We start from the raw sequence: 25,049 nt of genomic DNA on the forward strand, positions 1-25,049 counted from the left end.
ACTTTCCCTATGAATGACATGAAAAAGCCACTTTGGGAATCATGAGGATTAGTGTTTGCATATATAGATAGATAGATAGATAGATATATTCTTTTAAGTGTATCTTTTGTAAATGGCATTATCGTTTTTTTCCTGATAATCTTTGTCTTCTCATTGAAAGTTTAGGTCTTACATATACCAATTCACTTGGTTTTGGATCTGTTTTGTTTTCTGTATGATCTAACTGTTTTTTCCCTTCTCTTTCCTGTTTTCCTTTTTGATTTATTGTTTCTAATAGTCATTTTCTGGTAGTTATACAATCTTTCACTGTTCTCTAAGTGATTTCCTTGGAGATTTGTAACGTGTATACTTGACATGCCAGTATCTAGTAACAATTTGTATTTTTTTACCTTCTTAAGCAGTGCATGGATCTTAGAACATTTACTTCCATTCCCTTCTCCCAATTTACATGCCTTTTTGTTGTGAATGTTAAACCTATCAAGGCATCATTTTTATTGCCTACAATCAGTGTTTATTGGGATTTACTCATTTATCCTTTCTGTTAATCTTTAACTCAAGGCTTTCATCTGGTATTGTTTTCCATCTTAGGAAGTTCCTTCAATATGTCTGCTGGTGATGAATTATCTTATTTTTACCTGAAAATATCTTTATTCCACCTTCATACTTGAAGGATATTTTTACTGCATATGGTATTCAAGGTCAGCAATTTCTTAACCACCATCCTTCACTATCTCATTCTGTTGTCAGTCTCATTATTGTTTTAAAAAAATGTATTTTCCCTCCTTTGGTTATTTTGTGGTTGGTTCCTCCCCTGCCCCCACCCCATCCCCTGCCCAGCAGTTTTACTGTGATATGTCTATGTGGATTTCTTTTTTACATCCTGCTTGGTTTTCACGGGCTTTGATTTCGTGGTCTTCAGTTTTTAAAAATTTTGCCATTCTTTTACCTCTCTTCCTTCCAGATGATTACTTTGAACTATCTTCAGTTAACTAATTCTCTCTTCAGTGACATCTGATTTTCTGTTAAGTCCCTCCTTCAGTTGCCAATTTCTGTTTGACGTTTTCAGTTAATCAATGTATTAAAGTCTGCCTAGAGTTCCTTTAGGTCTGTTGTGATTTTCTCTTAGTTTCTGTTGGTTTTCATTCTAGTTCTGTCCTTCATGTATCTGGTGATTCTAGTATTGTTGTACTAGACATTTTATTTATGAATATTTATAGAAATAATTGGATATATAGGATAAGAGTGTGTTACATTTGCTTCTGTCCGTTGTCTGGGCTGCTACCCATCTATTACCACTTCAGTTTCAGAGATTGACATGATTCAAAGGAAGTTGCATTTCTTTTGCAAGCTGGTCTGCTTTAGGTTTACCTGTGCTGCTAGAATTTACTCCCAGGACTAAAGCATCCTTAAATATGAAATTTATATCCCAGGGCCTCCTTTCTATCTTATATTCTACTAAGTTATTTTTTACTTTAGCTTGTTAACTCTAACATTTTCAAGCAATTTTTTTTTTTTTTTGTACAGCTGTTTTCATCATGAAGGGTTGGCCTGCCATTTGGAAGCAGAAGTCCGTTTTAATTCTCTCTTTTTTTTTTTTTTTTGAGATAGAGTCTCACTCTGTCACCCAAGCTGGAGTGCAGTGGAGTGATCTTGGCTCACAGCAACCTCTGCCTTCCGGGTTCAAGCGATTCTCCTGCCTCAGCCTCCTGAATAGCGGGGACTACAGGCGCACACCACCATGCCTGGCTCATTTTTATATTAATAGTAGAGATGGGGTTTCGCCATGTTGGCCAGGCTGGTCTTGAACTCCTGACCTCAAGTGATCCGCCTGCCTCAGCCTCCCAAATTTCTGGGATTACAGGCATGAGCCACTGCGCCCAGCCTTGTTTAAATTCTCAATATAACTTTCTTAGGAATTACCATCTCAGAGAAAACAATATAGAGAAAGGTTAAATAATTTTCTTCAAGGTTGCATAGATGTTACAGTGTCGGGATTTGAATTCAAGTATGTATTCAAAGCCTGTGCTTTGTACTGCATTGAGCCGGTATTTTGAGAATATGAATGACATGCAAAAGCTACCCTAGGGATCATGAGCCACATCGCACATATTGTAGAATATTATTCATATTTTCTTTGTGGTAAAGCGTGACCAAAAATAGGTTAATAAGTGTACCTCTTCTTAGGCACTGAGTTCATTATTGGTAATTGATTCACAGTAAATACCTTGTATGTGTAGTTAAATATTTCAAATAGTACTTGAATGGAAAAAAAGTTACATAGAAGATCAGCAGGATGTTCTATAATTTTGAAATACAAAACTGTCGCTTAGAAATTCATAAAGTAGAAATGAAGCAAAATTTACTTGACATGTAATTCAGCATTTTTTACGTATTTACTGCTTTCTCAACTTCATATTCCTGTTCTTTCAATTTTTACCATATCCAGCACGTTTATTCTGGATGTTTTGTAAAAGAATGTACAGGTAAGAGGAACCTGGGAGTAAGCAAGAAATATTTGTTGAACGAATGAAGGTCAATATACTATTAGTAGTTCTATTCTTCCTACTCATTTATTTTTGTGGAAAGAACAGAAATGTTGACTCTTTGAATTCCTTCCCCCTTTATACAAACATTGTCAGTAATCTTAACTTTCTTTTAAATTTAGGGATAAAGTAATTCCTAATAAAGTGGGGACATATTGTATCCAGTTTGGTTTTATGATGGATAAAACAAATATTCTCAACAGTGAACAGGTTTGCTTACTTTTTTTATATACCACAGTTAGCTTTACATTTTCTTTTTTTTTCCCTCTTGGTTCTGCATTACATGAAATAGCTTCACATTTTCTCATTTAGTTTATGAATGAAATATTTTGTTTAAAAGTGAAGTAATTATTGGATGTGAAATATAAATAATTCAATTTTCAGGAAAATTAGTATATAATATGTTTAAATTTGTTCAATAATTTGACCTGTTACAGGAGTCACATTTCCATTTCTCTTTATATCAAAGACTCAGCATTTTAGTGTGTAGTGTTGTAAAGTTGCTTATATCAACCATGCATGAAAAATATTAGTAATATTTCACACAGCCATAACAAGAGAACGAAATTATGTCCTTTGCAGCAACATGGATGTGGCTAGAGGCCATTATCCTAAGTAAATTAATTAAGAAACTAAAAACCAAATACTGCATGTTCTCCCTTGCAAGTGGGAGCTAAACATTGGGTACACACGGACACAAAGATGGGAACAGTAAACGCTGGGGATTGCAAAAGAGGGGAAAGAGGGAGGTGGGCAAGAGTTGAAAAACTACCTATTAGGTACTGTGTTTGCTACTTGGGTGACGGGATCATTAGAAGCCCAAACCTCAGCATCCTGCAATATACTCATGTAATACACTTGCACATACACCCCCTGAATCTAAGATAATTTTTAAAATAATGAAAGTTGGAAATTAAAAATAAATAGTATTTCAGTTATTAGAATTCTGGATAGTGATGTTCAAGGCAGTTTAAATACACATCTACATATAATACTGTTGGTATAGGCTGGGTGCAGTGGCTCACGCCTGTAATCCCAGCAGTTTGGGAGGCCGAGGTGGGCAGATCACTTGAGGTCAAGAGTTCAAGACCAGCCTGGCCAATATGGTGAAACCCCTCCTCTACTAAAAATACAAAAATCATCTGGGCGTGGTGGGCGCACACCTGTAGTCCCAGCTATTCAGGAGGCTGAGGCAGGAGAATCGCTTGAACCCAGGAGGCGGAGGTTGCAGTGAGCAGAGATCACCCCTCTGCACTCCAGCCTGGGTGTCACAGTGAGACTCTGTCTCAAAAAAACAAAAAACTGTCGGTATACTAATTTTTTTGATTACCTATGTTTTTTAATACCTCTAAGTTTGTTCTTAGATGGCTGTAAACATCCAAAAATTAACCTGACCTAACTTTTTTATGCTGAATTTTAAAAGCAAATTGATTACTTTTAAAAGATTAATGGAAATAAATTTTAGAAGGTAACATTTAATTTTATTTAGTATGTGCCATTGTTATGTCTTCCCTTCCTCTTAAATGCTAAAGCATCAATATATTGTTAATCAGAATGTCTCTTTTGTTTTGTAAGGTTATAGTTGAAGTCCTGCCTAATCAACCTGTGAAGTTAGTACCTAAAATTAAACCACCTACACCAGCTGTTTCAAATGTTCGCTCAGTTGCCAGTAGGACCTTGGTCAGAGATCTACATCTTAGTATCACGGTAATGTTTATTTTCTTCCAAAACTGCGAAGGGTAACAAGAAAAATTATCTTTGATTTTAGGGTACAAAATTATTTGTATGGATTCTGTCAGTTACTCTGATTAAGGTTATAGGGAAAACTTGTGCAGATGAATTAAATATTTATAAATATCTTTGTATTTGAATACAAATAGAGAATATATAACATTATACATAAAATGAATTCAGAATAATAAGCAGAACTGACTCAAAATGCAGAAATCTCAATCTGCCTACCTTTTTTTTTTTTTTTTTTTGAGACAGGGTCTTGTTCTGTCACCCAGGCTGGAGTAGCATGGCACAATCATAGCTCACTGCAACCTCAAGCAGTCCTCCCACCTCAGCCTCCTGAGTAGCTGGGACCACAAGGTGCACAGCACCACACCTGGCTAGTTTTAAATTTTTTTTCTGTGGGGTTTTGCTGTGTTTTGCTGTGTTGCCCAGGCTGGTCTTGAAATCCTGACCTCATGTTATCCTCCTGCCTCAGCCTTCCAAAGTGCTGGGATTACAGCTGTGAACCACCACACCCAGCTGCTACCTTTTCTAATACATACCTTTACTCACCTGTTTAGTGTATCTATCACGAATGAGTGTGAACTATATTGACTCTTCAATGTCCGGTTCACTGAGGGGACTGAAGGACATAAGTATTTTTTTTAAAGAGATCTGTTCTGATGACTGCTCATAGTTAAGAAAGAAAATCAGAGCTCCTCCAAGGCTGCAGATTTCATGAAGCATAAGCAGCAACACAGCTGTCAAAAATATTAACAAAAACATGTAAAACACAGTAGTGGGACTGCACCTTCATGGAAAATTTGGTTGGTGGGATGCTTGTCTACTTTCAGTTTATTTTCCTGTTTTAGATGATGGGTTATTCTTCCCTAGACATCTCTTCTTTTCCCAAAACATCTTGTTGGGGTAAACGGTGCCATAGAATTACTCCAAGGGTCTTTGAATATCATATAAGCACCGAACATTGTGAGAAACACATATAGGCCTATTGGTTTTCAAATGTATACAGGTGCTGCTGGTGTTAATAAAATATTTAAAGTCACTACAAGTTTATAATAACTTATTAAGCACTTTTTCACATCTGTAGGTACTAAAAGTACATGAAAAGGTGATATTTTAAAATGGGAGTCCTTGTAATTTAGTAAGGTAGGAACTGTTGTATTGAAGTCTCTTGTTCTTTTATGGTTTCTGGAACTATTTCTTGCCTGTGGAACACTCAAACTTAGAACTGAATTTTGTGCTTAGACTAAGAAAGATCCAGATAATTTAATGTTGGGGGCTCTCTGTATTATTTCTGATTTGTACATGCTCTTCTCTGGGTTTAATCTTCTCATCAGTTTCTCTAATTGTTTTCCATTTTTTGTTTTAAGGATGACTACGACAACCATACTGGAATTGATTTGGTTGGCACTATAATAGCCACCATTAAAGGCTCTAATGAGGAAGATACTGATACCCCACTTTTTATTGGGAAAGTTAGAACACTTGAATTCCCCTTCGTGAATGGTTCGGCTGAAATCATGGTAAATTTTTTATATCTTTTGGTAGATAGAATTTCTGTATTTAATGCTTTTAACCACCATATTAAGACACCTTTTCTTTTGTATAGCTATGAAGATGTTCTAATCATAGCACTAAATTGGGAAGTCAGCTGAAATATTTTCTGTTTTTGCTATTACAAATTGAACCCAAGATCTTTATAAGTAAGACTCTCGTTTTTCCTATGGGATAACAGCTTTCTCTGATTCTAGTTGTTTTTAACTTTAGTGACAGTACGTGATGTTTTATGTTTCATTGAAAAGCTGCCGTTATGTGGATAGAAACAAAAAATGTAGCCCAGGTAAATTTTAATTAAACAACTTGTCTTTGTTACTCATTTTTTTCTAAAATGAAAATAGTTTTATTTGTATTTTAAAAATATACAGTGCAAGAACCTCCATAAATAATCAAGATATTGTCACCTGTCAGAGATAATAGATGCTTAGCAACTTAGTATTACCTTCCAGAGTTTCGGCATATACACTAATGCTGCCTGCATACCATGTGTGTATATGATTTATATACATGTTCGGAGGGTGTAAAATTTCATTAATAGAATTGTGCCTTTATAAAAATCTTTTCTTGTTCAACATCTCTAATATATTCTTAGTAAAAGTAAGCCTACATCATTGTATATTAATGACCACAGTTTATTTGATCAATCCTTAGTGAAAATTTAGTTCTTTTCTAAAGTTTGTTTTTATCAACAGTGCTTCCATTAGCTTTCTTCTATGTATAGTCAGCCCCCCATATCCGTGGGTTTCACATCTGTAGATTCAAAAATAATTAGGAAAAAAATTTCATCTGTACTGAATACATACATTTTTCTTGTCAGTATTCCATAAACAATACAACAACTATTTTCATAGCATTTTAGTAGTTATTACTAAGTAATCTAGGGATGATTCAAAGTATATGGAGTATGTGCATAGGCTGTATGCAAATACGACACCATTTTATATCAGGGATGTGAGTATGCATGGATTTGAGTATCTATGGGAGTCCTGGAACTAGTACCCCACAGATACCAAGGGATGACTATATATCCTTTTGCATATATTATTTCTTTAAGAAATTACTAGAAGCAGAATGCGTTAGAGATAGGATATGCATATTTTAAGCCTTTTGGTAGTTACTGCCAGTGCTCTTCAGTTTATATTCCTGCCAGAAGTATATGTCTATCTTACTCATATTAGCAACACTATATGTGTGAACACTTTTAAAAATTCTAACCAAGTATCTGATTAAAAATTTATTTTTGTCGAATATTTTTTGGTTTTAATCTTTCTAAGATTGTTTACCGACCATTTCTTTTAGAATTTTCATTTTTTTCTTAAAAATATTAGTGCTCTTTGGTATATAAGTACTTTTTCATGAGATGTTCTTTTGTTTTTAGAACTTGCCTTTGTTTATATTGGAGGGGCAGATCATATTCACAGTGCTATCTCTGATATCCTTAATTTCTTTAATTTTTGATATATCTGGATTTTATTGACCCTTTTTCAAATCCATTAATTTTCTTGATATCTTTTCAGTAATTCTAACAGTACTAATAGATATGAAATGTTACCTTTTCTTGTATTTTTGTTGTTGTTCATTTCTGTGTCTAACTCATTGCAGCATCACATTGTTTCAGTAAAATTAGGCTTATACGGTAGGAGCCTGCCAGCTGTACCTGGCCTGAAGACTTGTCAATTGGTCTGGCAGTGACTGACCAGTACAGCATTTTCATTGTAATTAGTTTCCAACATTTAAAGTTCTGGAATTTTTACATAAAAATCTGCATTTCTAATTTATTTGGTGAAATCTAAAGATCTGTCAACACTGGGTGAGGATTCTCTTAGCCAGCTGTATGTGCACCCTGAACAGTGACTGCTCCTGTCAGTGTGTCTGGTTTCCAGTCAGCCGCTTCCATGCCACTTCTTTTCATTTATTGACATTGAGGACATGTGTATTTACCACTTATATTCACACTTGTTCTTCCTTTTTTATTATAGTGGAGAATAAAGTAAGATTTTCTTGTGCTCTAACAAAAATTAGGTAATGAAAGCCACGTTGAAAAACAAAGGGGAGTGGGGAGACATACTTAACATGCAGAGTGGATTTGTGTTGGAAGAAGACATCTAGTCTTCTTTCTAAAGAAAGTTTTCTAAAGAAAACTTTACCTGTTTTCCTGTTTAGCTATGTCCAGTTTTCTTTTTTTTTGGAGACAGAGTCTCACTGTCTCACCCAGGCTGGAGTGCAGTGGCGCGATTGCCCCTCACTGCAAGCTCTGCCTCCCGGGTTCACGCCATTCTCCTGTCTCAGCCTCCCAAGTAGCTGGTACTACAGGCACCCACCACCACATCTAGCTAATTTTTTGTATTTTTAGTAGCGACGGGGTTTCACCGTGTTTGCCAGGATGGTCTCGATCTCCTGACCTTGTGATCCACCCGCCTCGGCCTCCCAAAGTGCTGGGATTACAGGCGTGAGCCGCCGTGCCCGGCCTGTCTCCAGTTTTCTTGGCCCCCTTATGGTCATTTGAAATTGCTAAACCTGCTGTATATACTCCTGAGATTCAGACAAGAGATTTAGCTATTCCCCAGCAGCTGTATATAAAAATCTCTTCACATCATGCATGTAAATTGTACTCTTACCACTAGAGGACCCTGATATCTCACTGAATCAATAGAAAACTCAAGTCCTTCTTGGCTCCTGCCTCACATATTGATTTAGTATGTCTGGAGCAGGGCTCTAGAATCTGATTTTTAAAAAGCAGGTGATTCTTATCATTAGGGAAGTTTAGGAAACACTGGTCTAGAGCACAACCAATGTTTGTAAATGTTCCACATTATTGCTTTGTTTAAAGTTACAATCTAAATTTGTAGTTGCTTAAGTTTGTTAATTGTGCTATTCAGATTCACTGTATTATTTGCCTACATGATCTGGACATTTCTGATGGCAGTGTCTAAGTTTCATTCTGATATGCATTTGTTTGTTTCTCATATGCCAAATTTCCGTTTATACTTGGATCCAGTTTGGGACTCTTCATTTCTGTTATTCTGTTTATCCTTTTTTCTTGGTAGGTATGCATCAGGGATTAAAAACTATAAAACTTTGAGATAGGAGATTCCTCTTCAAACAAGATAAAAAGGAAAAGATTATATTTAACTACATTAAAAGTTACACTTTCTGCGGGGCACAGTAGCTCATGCCTATAACCTTAACACTTTGGGAGGCCAAGGTAGGATTGCTGGAGCCCAGGATTTCAAGACCAGCTTGGGCAACATGGCAAAACCCCATCTCTACAAAAAATTTAAAAATTAGCCAAGCATGGTGACAACGCACCTATAGCCCCAGCTACTCAGGCAGCTGAGGTGGGAAGATAGCTTAAGCCTGAGAGGTTGAGACTGCAGTGAGCCATGATTATGCCACTGCATTCCAGCCTGGGTGACAGAGCAAGACCCTGTCTCAAAAAAAAAAAAAGGTTACACTTTATGTACGTAAGCATATCTTAAACAGAATTAAAAGAACAGTGACAATGTGTTGATAATTGTTGACACTGGATAATCAGGTTTATTATCTGATTCTGTAGTAGAAAAAAAAAGTTTTTAAGGTAGTAAATTAAGGAGAAATATTGATTTTGCTGTATGCAGTCATGTCATCACTTAATGACGGGCATATGTTCTAAGAAATACATCATCAGGTGATTTCATTGTTGTGCAAATATCGTAGAGTATACTTAAACCTAGGTGATATAGCCTACTATACACCTGGGCTATATATCACAACCTATTTCCTTTTTTTTTTTTTTTTTTTTTTTGAGACAGAGTCTTGCTCTGTCACCCAGGCTGGAGTGCTTTGGCGCACTCTTGGCTCAGTGCAACCTCCGCCTCCTGGGTTCAAACAATCCTCCCACCTCAGCCTCCCGAGTAGCTGGGACTACAGGCGCGTGCCCACCACACCCAGCTGATTTTTGTTTTTTCAGTAGAGACAGGGTTTCACCATGTTGGCCAGGTTTGTCTCGAACTCTGACCTCAGACGATCCACCCACCTCGGCCTCCCAAAGTGCTGGGATTGTAGGCATGAGCCACCACACCCAGCAGCATAACCTGTTTCTCCTAGGCTACAAACCTGTACAGTATGTGACTGTACTGAACACTGTAGGTAATTTTAACATAATAGTATCTGTGTATCTAAACATAGAAAAGGTATAGTAAAATACAGTATTATAATCTTTTGGGACCACCATTGTACATGTGGTCCTTTGTTAGTGAATTGTTATGTGGTGCATGACTGTATGTTAGATACATATAATTAAAGGACTGATATATTGAACAGATTTCTAAAACCTCCTAAGGAACTACTTGCAAATCAATTAAAAAAAAAAGACAAACCGGTAGAAAAATAAATGGGCAAAGAATATGAGCAGGCAATTAATGGAAAAGAAAATATAAATAACCTGTAAACATAAGAAGCATGATTTCAGTACCACTCAGGGAGATGTTAGTTAAAATAATAATGACTGGTTGCTTTTTAATTCCCCTTTTTAGAAAAAAATATGATTGATATTAAATGTTGGCCAGCATAAGGGGAATTGGGCACTCCCATATACTGCTGGTGAGAGGATAAATTGATACAGCTTCTTATAAGGGAAATTTGATACTTACCTTTTAAAATAAACTTATACTTCTCATTATTCATCCCAGAAAACACATTTGCAGAGAAACATTTGGAGATATATTTTTGCTATGTTATAGATAATTGTTTAAAAATTGTAAACATACTAAATATTTGCCACCCAATGAATGAGTAGTATAGTATAGTGTACTATATACTATACTACTAGTATATATAGTATACAGTATATAGTATAGTATATAGTGTACTATATACTATACTACTAGTATAGTACTATATACTATACTATACATAAATTTTAAATTGGCATCTATACATTCACATGAATTGATCAAATCGAGTGCTGAAAGCAAGTTGCTAAAGTATATGTTACTTATTTTTAAAATGCAAATAGTATTTTTTAAATACATGTTTGCATTTATGTAAGTCTGTTGAAAACCACATTCAGAAACTGATTGGCAGTTGGTTTAATGGTGGGCTTGTATTCTATATTCTTTGGGAAAAAGTCTGTGAGCTGTAATTTATAATTTTATTTCATGGATTGACCTACAGTGCCATATCGATTTAGATTTTTTAAAAATACTACTTCTCTGTAAATTGTATTGTTATAGTCTAAACAAAAACAGCTACTATCGTTTCCCTTAGAACTGTGTGAAAAAATCATTTCAGATAAAAATATATTTGTGTCATTTACTAGTTATATGTTTTGGTCTTAAAGTATATCAAAAGGTTTTTTATCCATTAATGAGAAAGACACAATTTAAAAAATCTTTAGAGCTTTTCAAAATCTCTTGTTCTGTCACCTGGGACTTTGATGGGTCTATTTCCATGTTAACAGCTGTAACTTAAACTCAGCATTGGGCTTTGTGATTGTTTTTATAACTTTCACACTATCAGCTCTTTCATGCTGCTTTCAATTTAGAGGTTAGAATCAAGAAGATTTTACAGGTCAAAATTTTAAGTGGCCATCTCTAATGTGAAGGAAATAACTTTTTCTTGAAATTTTTTATCATATATACTTTTCACATAAGCTGTTTATTGATACGATCATTTGGCTTTCAAACCAATACCAGAAGGTAAAAAGTTGTATGTCTTGGGTAGTGGTGGTGGTGATAATGGTTTAATGGAATCTTAAGGATCAGCCTATGCCTTTGGCCTTTAAAATTAACCACTTACTTGAAAACAGCATAATGAGTTATGTAACATTTATATGTTGTAAATTTTCTTTTTAAATCTTGTTTTCCCCTATTGTTTGTTTATATGTACAGAGTCTGGTGCTGGCAGAAAGTAGTCCTGGAAGGGATAGTACTGAATATTTTATTGTATTTGAGCCCCGGCTACCACTTTTATCAAGAACCTTAGAACCATATATCCTACCGTTCATGTTTTACAATGGTAAGTTTCTAGGAAATAAATGGTTAAACTCCGTTGTTAGTGATACTTTAGATAACCTTGTTTTGCTTTCCATTAACTTGGTGTTTATTAGCTATCTAACCACTTTATGACATATTTTAGAAAAGTCAGTTTTTAAATTATTTAAATTATCTCAATTTTTTTTCTTAGATGTTAAGAAGCAGCAACAAATGGCAGCACTTACAAAAGAAAAGGACCAATTATCTCAGTCTATTGTTATGTATAAAAGTTTATTTGAAGCCAGCCAACAGCTTCTTAATGAAATGAAATGTAAGTCATTTTGTATTCAAGACAAAAATTATGCTTTGGGGAATGATGAGGCAGGTGAGATCGTGATACACAAACAAGCTTCCACTTTCCTAAATTACAAGTAAAATACAGAATGTTTCAGAAAGGTGGTAATGATGGTTGATACTGTCATTGAGAATTCTTAAGATGAAGTATTTCTTATTTTAAATAAATTTGTATCCTGCTTAAAAGAAATCAACACGTTCTGTTAGGAATCTGGACCTGTGGAAAATTTAAGGCTTTCTACATAATAATAATGTTTATATTTAGCTCTAGCTTCTGGCAAAAGATACTGGATAATAATATCACCAAGGGAGTGATGTGTAATGTAATTTTTCATTTGGGTAATGAGCTGTTTGTATTTTACTTCAAACATCTGCAGTTTGTCATACTATGGAGGTATCTGGGGCAGCACACACTGATACTGAAATATGTAAATTATTCTTGAGTCAATTCACAGAAAGTTTGCTGCAGTTTTGTTTTGTTTAGTTTTGTTTTCTGTTTTTTGTTTTTTTTTGAGACACAGTCTCTGTCGCCCAGGCTGGAGTGCAGTGGCACGATCTCACTCACTGCACCCTCTGCCTCCCAAGTTCAAGTGATTCTCGTGCCTCAGCCTCCCAAGTAGCTAGGATTACAGGCACATGCCACCACGCCTGGCTGATTTTTGTATTTTTAGTAGAGACGGGGTTTCACCATGTTGGCCGGGCTGGTCTCGAACTTCTTACCTCAAGTGATCTGCCCACCTTGGCCCCCACAAAGTGCTAGGATTACAGGTGTTAGCCACCACACCCAGCCTACGTTTGCTGCAATTCTTAATAATGTTTCATATAATTGAAAGACAAGACATTTTCTGAGTTGTGCTCTATCATCTCTTCCCTTTTCATTTGTCATATTTTTTTGCTAAGGTTTTTGGCCTTGTGTTATTTTGATCAAGTTAACCAAGAAATATTTACCGCTTGCCTCAAAGTACTCACTTTTGTGTATGCCTGCACAAGATCAAGGATATTTAGAATATAATAGGAGCTAAATCTAGTAGTGAGATAATGTCATTTGTGTAGCACTAAAAATTGTTTTTATAAAGTCTTTGAGAACAGCCTTGTGCAATTATGTATAAATTATGTATACTCGTGGATTAAGATTAAGTAACTTATCCAAGATTACTAGGAGTTTGCAGTATATCATATCTCCCTTTAGTTGCATTAATTTTGTTTTCTCATTTTTGTATATCAGAATTGAGCCTTAAGATGTATAGTTTAATTTTGAATTTCTGAAATGGTCACCTATCAGTTTTCATTTTAGCAACAGACATTAAAAGGAAAAAACAAAAGGAACTTTAAAATATTTTTCAAAAACTATGATTTGGGGGCTATCAGAAATTGATGCAAATTTTTGGTTTTTTATTTTAGGTCAAGTTGAAGAAGCAAGATTAAAAGAGGCCCAATTGCGAAATGAACTAAAAATACATAATATTGACATTCCTACAACACAACAGGTACAGCTTCCAACTATACGTGAAAGATTTTTTATTAAAGTCTATTCTACAATTTTCTCAATTATTCAGTTTTTATTAGGAATTCTGAGTATTGTTGTTTTAGGGTACAAAGACGTGCATTATCGTCACTAGACATTAAAAATGACTAACAAAATGATAGAGTGCTCTATTCAAAGAAATTGCAATTTGTATTTTTAATGTAATGACACCAATAAATGCAATTAATAATACATCAGTTCAAGTACTGCATTGAAAAGGCTGCATAACCACTACACGTGATGGTAAACAAAATAAGAGAAAATAAAAAGCAATCTAGATTTTTAAAATTTATATTCTTTTATATGTGTAACTCAGTTTCAAGAGAAGTCCTATTATAGGTAGTGTATTTCTTGGCTAAGATTTTTTTAAATTCAGTGAAGTGGGAACTTTATATTACTATAACCATGGTTTTTAAAATTGTGTTTTCTTTGTGTGTGTGTGTATTTTCTGATAGTTTTTTTTTTAATAATGCCTACTTACCAACTTTATATTCTTTAGTTATCTAAATTGTTAATTTTTCTCCACTGTCATTATGGGCTGCCTGGTTCAAGAGTAATTGGTCTTGTAGTTAATTTTTCTTTATAAATTATAGGTGCCACACATTGAAGCACTTCTGAAAAGAAAGCTATCAGAACAAGAAGAACTGAAGAAAAAACCTAGAAGATCGTGTACTCTTCCAAACTATACTAAAGGCAGTGGAGATGTTTTGGGAAAGGTTTGTGTTTATTAAGCCTTTTGAAAGGCAGTACATTTTATTATCTTGTTTGTTTAAAACGGGTCTTCTAAAAGTGACAAAAAAGTGTCAGGTTCTTTGTAATTTACTTCTTTCCAATAAAGTACCTGCTCTCATTATTGCAATAGGGATTTGGCAGAGTTTAAAACTGAAATCTGTAATGTTACTATTGAGGGCTGTGGCAAAAGTTGTTAACATCTATTAGTTCAAGGCTTGTTGTTTACTTAGAGATGCTTTCATGTCATGCAGCTCTGTTTTTGGAGGGGGAGACAGTCTGTCACCCAGGCTGGAGTACGATGGTAAGACTGTGGCTCGCTGCTCCCTCCACCTGCTGGGCTCAAGTGATCCTTCTGCCTCAGCCCCCCAAGTAGCTGTGACTACAGGCATGTGCCACCATGCCCAGCTGAAACTGAGGTCAAGTAACTTGCTCAGAGTTGCACAGATAGCAAGTGGCAGAGCCAGGGGTGAAACCCCAAGTAGTCTGACTCTGGAGTCTTTGGTTATTGCCTTTGCATGTATATTCTACTTTTGTAACCACCATATGAACTATTATTTGTAGTATTTCTCATTTATACATAAAGAAATTGAAATTCAGGGAGCTCAAATAACTTGTTAAAATATAGTTAAAGGCAGAGCTTAGATGTGACTCAAGGTCTCTCTGACTCTAAAGTCTGTGATAGTTTTTTTATATGCCCTATAACTTCACAAATATACTGTCCACTGAAAATAGGGGGTAACGTGTAGCAATGTGTATGACCAAAACCGTGTTACGTTATTACCCAAACCTCAGATCCGCAAACTGAAAAATTGAATTTTAATTCAAGTTAAATATAAATTTATGTATTAGGAAACAAGTTGCTAATATACAATGTTTTAAAATATTATTCCAATTTTTAGAAAAAAGCAGTTCTTTGATCCTAAGCATATAAATATATGGCTTCCACATTTTAATAGTTCATCCAATACAAAATTCTTGGACAATATGTGAGATTTTTACCAACATATAAATTTTAGCAAGAGAAATGTATTTTAAAGTCTCCTTTTTAAATATTTCCCATTGCATGTCTTGAAAATCTGGGGGAAATCTTTGAAATTTCGTTTTACATAGTTTCTCTTTTGTCCCCTCAGAAATACAAACCCTACCCTAACCAGTAGGAGAAAACTTTACAGTCCCTCCATGTCATCCTTAGTCTTTTCCCTCGCTTCCTTAAAAAATACTCTTCCTGGCATTTATTATAAAACTAGAATAGTCCGGGCGCGTTGGCTCACACCTGTAATCCCAACATTTTGGGAGGCCAAGACAGGCGCATTACCTGAGGTCAGGAGTTTGAGACCAGCCTGGCCAACCTGGTGAAACCCCGTCTCTAATAAAACATACAAAAAATAGCCAGACATGGTGGCATGTGCCTGTAATCACAGCTACTCAGGAGGCTGAGGCAGAAGAATTGTTTGAACCTGGGAAGCGGAGGTTGCAGTGAGCCGAGATCATGCCACTGCACTCCAGCCTGAGTGACAGAGCGAGACTCTGTCTCAAAAAAATAAAAAAACCCTAGAATAAATAATCGTAGAAATACAGTAGGAACAAGGGGAGACTTTTCCCCCAAACTTCAAAATGTATTTATTTTTAACATCGTGAATACCTCAAGTAACTTAGATATTTTACACATTTCTTCCTTAATTCCAAATATCTTGAAATCCCATCTCTAAATGAGGAAGATGTAGTAGCAGTTTTAAGATTTTTTTTTCAGTTAAACATATTATAGTTATACTTAACATGCCCTTCTAAATAGGTTTTATGACAGTATCATGGTATTTCTTTTACAAAACACATCTAAATGTCACAAGTAAGCCATTTCTTCTGCTTACATTTCATTTGCCTCTACTAATTCTTTCTCCATTGGCTAGAACATTGTTTTCATTTTCGTTTACATGTACTAGTTTTTTTGCATGTTCATTTTCTTACCTTTCTTCCACTAACTTCTAGAGAATTAGAATATAAGGGTAGATGTTAGGATGTGTTTTGTTTTTTGGCTTTTTTTGAGACAGGATCTCACTCCTGTCGCCCAGGCTGGAATGCAGTGGTGCATCTCGGCTCAGTGCAGTCTGGACTTTCTGAGCTCAGGTCATCCTCCCACCTCAGCACCCAAGTAGCTGGGACTACAGTTTCGTGCCACCATGCCCCCCTAATTTTTTGTATTTTTAGTGGAGATGGGGTTTCGTGATGTTGCCCAAGCTGGTCTCAAACTCCTGGGCTCAAGCACTCTGCCTGCCTGAACTCCCAAAGTGCTAGTAATACAGTCTTGGGTCACCATGTCCAGCCTGATGTTTCTAAAAGTGACACACAATGTTCTTATTGCTAGAGTAGGTTTGTGCTACCAGATCAAGTAAGATTAAAGGGTAGACACCACCATCCTAGCACAATGAACTAGGCTTTGATACTGGCCACAGTAGTCCAATCTTGGTGGACTTGACTTTGAACAAGAATGCTTGTTGATGATTGGGTGTTCACGCACATGCGTGAGATATGCCACCCTTGAACCTTGTTACACTGTTGGCACATTACCTGTCTGACCTGAGGGAAAGAAAAAGAATACTTGTGACTGAAGGAAGGATTTGTAATTATTTATTTATTCTAAGCTCCAAAGCATTGTTCCTAGAAACAGAAGCAAAAGGAACAATTTTTTTTTTTTTTTTTTTTTTTTTTTTTTTGGAGACAGGGTCTTGCTCTGTCAGACTGTAGTGCAGTGGCACAATCTCGGCTCACTGCAGCCTCTACCTCCTGGGCTCAAGTTATCCTCCTTCCTCAGCCTCCTGAGCAGCAGAAGAAACAATTCTTATTTGTGATGTTTAGATTTGTTTTCTGAAAGGAATACTATAATATTGGAGTAAAGTATTTACTTAGAAGGGAAGGGCTTATTAACTGTATTTATGTTTAACTGCATTATTTTATGTGTATATTATTTAAGTGTACTTTATGATATTCTACCAATAAGACAGATCCCATTTATAGTGTTAAAATGTGAAAAAAGTATATATTACTAGCTAATAAAATTTCTAATTATTTCATCCCTGAACGGTCTGAGAAAAGAAGGAAAAATTCCTAATATTTTTATTTGCTCATTTGCAACTTTACTGGAGTTTAATCTTTAGAAAAAGAAATTTTAATTTAATATCAGAATACAATGTTTAATATATTCAAGTTAAGTTTTTGACAACTTGACAGTTTATTTTTAATTCATGTGTTTCAGAGAAGTTTTTGTTACCTAGGCTTGGGCTTTTAACATAATATCAAATTTTTATATATGGATTTTATATTTTTTTACTTTATGAAAATGGGTTATAGATTGCACATCTAGCACAAATTGAAGATGATAGAGCTGCGATGGTTATTTCTTGGCATCTGGCAAGTGACATGGACTGTGTAGTCACCCTAACCACTGACGCTGCACGTCGTATCTATGATGAAACCCAAGGTCGTCAGCAGGTGTTGCCCCTTGATTCTATTTACAAGAAGACTCTTCCAGATTGGAAAAGGTTAGAAAAAAGTGAAAGTAATTTTTTTTCTGAAATATATTTTCTGTTTTTTATCAAAGCCTTGAATTTAAAAATGATTTCTCTAAAAGATACCTAAAACAGAGAATTGACTTGAATTATATACGTTATTTTTGTCTTCATCACAAATGGGCATTTTTCACTGCATATGCTGGCTATGTTTTATTTGCCAATTAAATATTATTTGTATATGTAATGTATACACAAAAACATACATTACATGTATATGTAACGTATACACACAAAGACATAAAAACACACAAAGACATAATATTTTTTTTTAAATTTTTTAATTTTTATTTTTTGAGATGCAGTCTTTCCCTGTCAGCCAGGCTAGGCGTGATCACAACTCAGTGCAGCCTCAACGTCCCTGGATTCAAACTACCTTCCCACCTCAGCTTCCCAAGTAGCTGGGACTACAGGTGCATGCCAGCATGCCCAGCTAAATTTTTTTTTTTTAATTGCTATATTGCCCAGACTGGTCTCAAACTTTTGGGCTCAAGCAGTCCTCCCACCTCAGCCTCCCATACTGCTAGGATTACAGGTATGAGTCACTGCACCCAGCCCCTTTTTTATATTTTATATGTACCCTGATTAGGCCTACTTTTTAAAATGTACCTAAAGACAGGAAGGAAATACTAACAAAAAGTAAATAAAAATGTATAGCAGAGTATTTATTAGTCAGTATTTTCTCAGATTACTAAACAAAGCTTTTCACGGCCTGTAATTGCATAGGAATGGGGACTTGAAGGAGAATGGTGTCTCATTAAGAGTCTACTATGTCAGTAAACTTGTTATTTCATCTTATAAATCTAAAAATAGATTGAGGAAACAGCTGTATGTTGAACTCAGATCTATCAGATTCTAAAATCTGCCACCCTGCAACTAGTCAGTACTCAAAGGAACAGCATGGGAAATCCTGACGGGTCATAGTTACTATGTTGATAAGGGTAATACTTTTTCTTTTCTTAAGAGAACGGTTTTCACTTGCCCAGGCTGGAGTGCAGTGGCTACTCACAGGCACAGTCATAGCTCACTGTAGCCTCAAACTTGTGGGCTCAAGTGATCCTCCTCCCTCAACCTCGCAAGTAACTGGGACTAGAGGCATGCACCACCACCTCCCCCCCCCATACCCTAATACTTTTTGTGAGAAGAATTTTTTTCTCCAGGAGGGCTTCTTTATCTCTGTAATCCCTGGAGACTAAGTTAAGGATCATTGATTTAGGGAAAGTATGGATTTGACATTTAGGGCTAACGTTTGTTCTAGAAACGAGTTATCCTCTCTGTTTCTGGTATTCTCCCTCTTACTGGGATTGAATTAACTAGAGCTCCTCTCCACCTATGTTGAAGGGAAAGTCTCTGACACCCCAATCAACTACCATCTCTGAAATTCCATTGTTATCATCTACTGGCTTCAATTGCTCTTCCTATTGTGTGGGAAGGACAGGAAGACAGGGGACATAGAGCTGCCTTCCTCATATGTGTCTCAGTCTTGGGCCTTGCCCCTTCCCCTAGTCATTCTGTGACCACTCTTCACATGAACAGTTATGTCATTCATACTGTCATTTGGAACAGAGGCTTCTTTTTTTCTTTCCTTGTCAAATGAAACTGTTATTTATTGTTAATACAAACTAATAGAGGGTAGTAGTACAGATAAAACCAAGTAGATTTTTTATATGGTCAATATTGTTTCCATTTCTAAGGGCATAATAGCTGATCATTTAGAAGTATCACTTGTGGTGGATTGGGAATTGATTGTATGATCAAAATGATGTGCAATATATTCATGTTTTCCATATTGTCTTTTTTTAAATTTAAAAAGTCATGTGCTTTAATATCTTTTTAAAATTTCTTTTTATTTAGATCTCTACCTCATTTCCGAAATGGAAAATTGTATTTTAAACCCATTGGAGATCCAGTCTTTGCTCGAGACTTGTTAACATTTCCAGATAATGTAGAACATTGTGAAACAGGTAAAAGACATTATGGTGACTTTACTTTTGTACAGATGTTAAATTTGTGACACAAATCTATAAATTACTGATAATGAAAATTTATATTCTTATTTTGCTTATCAGTCATAGTTTTATCAGTTTTTTTAGAGTACAAATAAAATTAGAACGAATACTAGCACTCTTTCAAAGAAAGACTTGCAATGTGCATTATATTTTAATATGGCCAAGGAAAATATCATAATTTTCAAAATTCATTTATTGACTTTTTTAGTATTTGGTATGCTGTTAGGAGACACCATTATTTTGGATAATCTGGATGCGGCCAATCATTATAGAAAAGAGGTATGTATTTGATTTCTTTTTAAATTTGTAGACTTCAGTTTTAATGTGTATCATGTCCATTTGATGATACATATACAAACGACTAGCCTTTTCAAAACCAATTTAAATTCTGCAAATTGATAAGCAACATAAAAGTAGGCAAAACGTAGGAATGAATGGACCAGGATGCAAATTTAAATAGATGTTTTGGGGCTACGAAATTGTCTAAGACTCAAAACAGTGTCTGTTAGGATTGGAAAAAAGTACTGTCAGGTAATTTTGGTGTAAAATGTAATTTGCTGTAGCCCTTTGTATTGGTTTTCTAGGGCAGCCATTAACTGATGTGAATAATAGAAATATTACTGTCCCACAACAGACTGGGTGGCTTAAATAATAGAAATTTATTGTATCACAGTTCTGGAAGCTGGAGATCCAAATTCACAGTTTCAGGAGGGTTGGTTACCTCTAAAGACTGTGAATGAAGGATCTGTTCCAGGCCTCTCCCTGCCTTGGAGATGAGGACTCTCTTCCCCCTGTCTCTTCACATCTGTGCGTGACTGTGTTCAAATTTCCCCCTTGTTGTAAGGATACCAGTCATACTGGATTAGGGCCCACCGCAGTGACCTCATATTAACTTGATTATCTCAGTAAAGACCCTATCTCCAAATAATGTCACATTCTGAGGGACTGGGGGTTACGGACTTTAACATGGATTTGTTGGGGGCTGGTCCCAAACAAAGGTAATGAGTTATCTCAATTGATGGTTCACCATCAGCTACAGATCTAACTCTGTTTTATTCTTTCCTCCCCTTCTTACTAGTCTACTTGACTGGTCTTGTAAAAAGTAAATAAATAAAAGATTATAGTGGAGCACAGTTTAGCCCATAGCACCTTTGCAGGGGAGTTTGGTAAAATAAATATTTCAGTTATTTACTGCTGCTATATATATAACACTCTAAATTGTAAGTTTAAACAACAACATATTAGTCCTCTTTGTAGATTTCTCCAAGTGATGTTGGCTAGTTGAACTGGGGTGGTGGCAGCTCTAAAATGCCTGCCTTATGTAGCTGGCAACTGGTACCTGTTGTCATCTGGCATCAGCTGGTATTAGCCAGGGGTTCTTTTGGGGATGTCTGCTAGGGTTATTGTTCTCACCCATGAGGGTGAGATAGAGTAGGGTAATGCCATTTAGAGTTTTAGAAGCCCTTTTGTCTAGCTAAGAGGATCCAGGAGGGCAGTAGTTTAAATCTTTCAGAGGTCTTAACAAAGGAACATCCTTGACTTGATTTTAACCCTAAAGCCACATGTTATAGGCAGTACCCTGGATTGATCTAAGCCAGTATCTGTAAATAGTGTATTCTAGAATCACGGGGACTATAGGGATCATCTAGGATGATCTAGGACGAGTGAGAATAGATGAGAGACCTTAAGCTGAGAACAAATAATGGAGAGCTGGACATGTGATGCATGCATGTAGTTCCAGCTACTTGGGAAGCTGAGGGAGGTTTGCTTGAACCCAAGAGTTCAAGGCTATAGGCTGTCGTGTGCTCTGATCATGCCTATGAATAGCCACTGCACTCCAGCCTAGGCAATATAATGCGATTCTGTCTAAAAAAATAAAAATTGTTAAAGAGGTGGGGGATTTGTCCCAAGTCACACTTTACTAATTTATGGCAGAGCTAGAACTAAACTGGTATGAGTAATTTTTCTTTGGGCCTCGTTAAGAAGCAATAATAGGGCACCGGGTACAGTGGCTCCTGCCTGTAATCCCAGCACTTTGCGAGGCCAAGGTAGGGGATCATTTGAGGTCAGAAGTTCGAGACTAGCCTGGCCAACATGGTGAAATCCCGTCTCTACTAAAAATACAAAAATTAGCCAGGCGTGGTGGCAGGCACCTGTAATCCCAGGTACTTAGGAGGCTGAGGCAGGAGAATCACTTGATCCTGGGAGGTGGAGGTTGCAGTGAGCTGAGATCATGCCACTGCACTCCAGTCCGGGGTGACAGAGCAAGACTCTATCTAAAAAAAAAAAAAAAAAAAAAAAAAAAAGGCAATAATAAATTCATCTTAGTTTAGGAAAACTAAATTACTGGGATTTTGAGCATTATATAGCTAATTGGAAAATGGTATTTGGCATCTTCATGAACGTTTCCTTGTAAACCTAATATTAAGTATAATACACTGTACCAGAAACTGGCTGTGGGTGGGAGAGCTACTATATTCTGGTAGTGATTAGCATTTTTATATATCCCGAATTATGAAATAGAAACATACCCATTAAATGTTATGATAACATGGAATCAGTTTGGAGACGGTGAGAAGCTTGCTGGTAAGGATTGAACTAACTAATAGGATGGTAACCGGAAGACTCCTGTTCAATGAGATATTTGGATACTTACTATGTATGAGACACAGTAGTGTGCTATTATGTGTTGAACTAGCTCTCTGAGGAGGCATGTGGAAGTCCCTGATTTGTAGCTTTTGCCAATTTCTATGGTGTAAGTACTTGTATCATGGATGATTTCCAGCAGTCTGTATGAAGTCCTTCATGCCTATATGAATGTGGTGTTCAGGAGACCTGGCTTTCATGACCCAGTACAAGCTGGTTCCAGCGTATCACTAGGCACAGTGCACTGAGGGTTATACAGTGATGAATTAGACAAACCAGATAGCCTTTGGAAACTCCAGCTGAGATTAGCTAAAATGCTATTTCAGATATGTATCTTAATGAACTGGCAAGAGAGTCAGGATTCTAAGTGGAAGTGGGAACCTGGAGAGACAAACAGAACACTAATGCCAGATTTTTGCAGTGAGAACGTTTGCCAAACTAATTGAACTTAAGCATTGATTTTTCACTCCCTCGAGGGGCTTTAGGATAGGAGACAAAACCCAGGGCTCTAAACAACATGGGGAGTCTGATAACTGGGGACACCCCCTCTGTGGGGGGAAACCTTAGTATAAGGGTAAACAAACATATAAACCTGCCACCTTCATCTCAACTCCAGCTGCTTCAGGGAACTACCAGAAAAGTCTCTCTCTTGAACTTTGGCACTAAGCGGAAAAGTAAAAAAGTTAAACATTTTTCTAGAGAATTCATCAACATAACAATTGACTCTAATATCTGTTTGCAATGTGTATTCATACTACTTGGATGTTCTGAAAACCTTCACGGTAAACATTTGGTTTCATGTGCTGGACTAGTAGTATCCTTAGATACCTGATTGAAGCAAATAAATGTTTTCTGGGGGAATTTCACCATTGTTTTTGAATGGAAATAATTTCCACATTGAAAATGAGAGCAAATATTTTTAAAGTGTTAATATTTGATTAATATAGTTCAAAAAATGAAAGTGTTGAAAATGAGAAAAGAACAAGTTAAATTGAAAAATATCTATATTAATAGTTGATTAATATAGTTCAAAAAATGAAAGTGTTGAAAATAAGAAAAGAATAAGTCAACTTGAAAAAATCAAATAGAGCTTCTAAAAATCAAAAGATACAATAGAAATTAAATACTAACTGAACAGGTTTAACATCTTAAGAATTTGTGAATTAAAAAGAGGGTCAGAAAAAAATATTCAGACTGCAACCCAGAGAGAAAGAGAAAATGGAATGTAAGACAAAGAAGTTGAAGAGACATGGAGGGTAGAATGAGAGAGCATCTAACCAAAATGTAATCAGAGTATCAAGAGGAGAGCGTTTATAAAAGGATTATAGGCAATATTTGAAGAACTGATGGCTGAAAATATCTTAAAACTGATGAAAGATACCAATACTAGTTTTGCAAAAATGTTGTAGCACATACGTGACAAAAAAGGAATAGAATTTGTTCTTCATAATTGATAATAGCACATATTGATTTCCTTGCTTCCAGGTTTCTAAATGAAGTCATATGTAACTTTGCCAATCAAATGTTATTTTAAAACTCTTCTAAGAAAAAGCTCTTATGACATTCCTTGGTAACACTGTTGAGTTTCAGAGTTGTAATATTGTTCATTCCAGAATTTGCAGAATTTGCAAACACCATGATAACTTTTTTTGTCCTAATAGTGTACTTAGTGAGGTAGAATCAAGGTTGAGGGAGAATTGAGAAACTGTCTGTGAAAGTAGTATTTCCAGAATCATTATAAAAGGAGAGCCAAACTGTCTGTCCTTCTACCATAACTCTTCCCTCATGTTGCTTCTTAACAAGATAATAGAAAATCTATACATTTTAGTGTATTTATTTAAGATCATATTAGGCTGAGCATGATGGCTCATGCCTGTAATCTCAGCACTTTGAGAGGCCAAGGCAGGAATATCACTTGAAGGCAAGAGTTCGAGACCAGCCTGGGCAACATAGTGAGACGCCAACTCTACAAAGTTTAAAAAAAAAAAAGTAACCGGGCATGGTGGCCTACACCTGTAGTCCCAGCTATTCAGGTGGCTCAGTTGGGATAATTGTTTGAGCCCAGAAGTTGGAAGCTGTAGTGAGCCATGGTCATGCCACTGCACTCCAGCCTGGGCAACAGAGCGAGACCACAACTCAAAAAAAAAAAAAAAAAAAAAAAAAAAAGATATTAAATCCTTAGAAACATTGACTGCCTGAATCTTGATAAGTGGATAGCACATGAAGCCAGTTTGTATTTTTGTTGTTGTTGTTCACCACTAGAAAACATATAAACCCAAACCAAAACTAAGAAATTAAGTTGTGGTTATTTCTTGTAAAAACAAATGATTTTTGAATTTGTAAATACTGGCTTTACCAAAGAATTCACCACAGGATTTCTTCAAATAACCATCTTAATTACATTTACTTTATCTTGTATTTATATAATT

At 35.9% G+C, this 25,049-nt stretch overlaps 1 protein-coding gene and 1 pseudogene across 9 annotated transcripts in view; both read left to right on the forward strand.

The window, feature by feature from the left end:
• The window catches only part of SMCHD1 (structural maintenance of chromosomes flexible hinge domain containing 1), a 149,292-nt gene that overhangs the window by 102,261 nt on the left and 21,982 nt on the right, over positions 1–25,049 (forward strand). For 5 of the 9 annotated variants that reach the window (XR_001753172.2, XM_011525642.2, NM_015295.3 and 2 more), the window contains 10 exons: positions 2,666–2,753; positions 4,119–4,250; positions 5,651–5,803; positions 11,708–11,834; positions 12,003–12,122; positions 13,547–13,632; positions 14,264–14,386; positions 17,748–17,938; positions 19,820–19,929; positions 20,183–20,253. Coding sequence is in view for 6 of the 9 variants with exons in the window: in XM_011525642.2 (XP_011523944.1) it covers positions 2,666–2,753; positions 4,119–4,250; positions 5,651–5,803; positions 11,708–11,834; positions 12,003–12,122; positions 13,547–13,632; positions 14,264–14,386; positions 17,748–17,938; positions 19,820–19,929; positions 20,183–20,253 (1,201 nt within the window). In the remaining 3 variants the exon portion in view is untranslated. Of the gene's footprint in view, positions 1–2,665; positions 2,754–4,118; positions 4,251–5,650; positions 5,804–11,707; positions 11,835–12,002; positions 12,123–13,546; positions 13,633–14,263; positions 14,387–17,747; positions 17,939–19,819; positions 19,930–20,182; positions 20,254–25,049 lie in introns of those variants that run through there. The other 4 variants (XR_007066135.1, XM_047437426.1, XR_935055.3 and 1 more) reach the window with 4 other exon arrangements.
• LOC124904372 (uncharacterized) lies at positions 16,860–16,977 on the forward strand (annotated as a pseudogene).

The sequence above is a fragment of the Homo sapiens genome, chromosome 18 (assembly GCF_000001405.40).
Source record: "Homo sapiens chromosome 18, GRCh38.p14 Primary Assembly".
In the NCBI taxonomy this organism is placed as follows: Eukaryota; Metazoa; Chordata; class Mammalia; order Primates; family Hominidae; genus Homo; species Homo sapiens.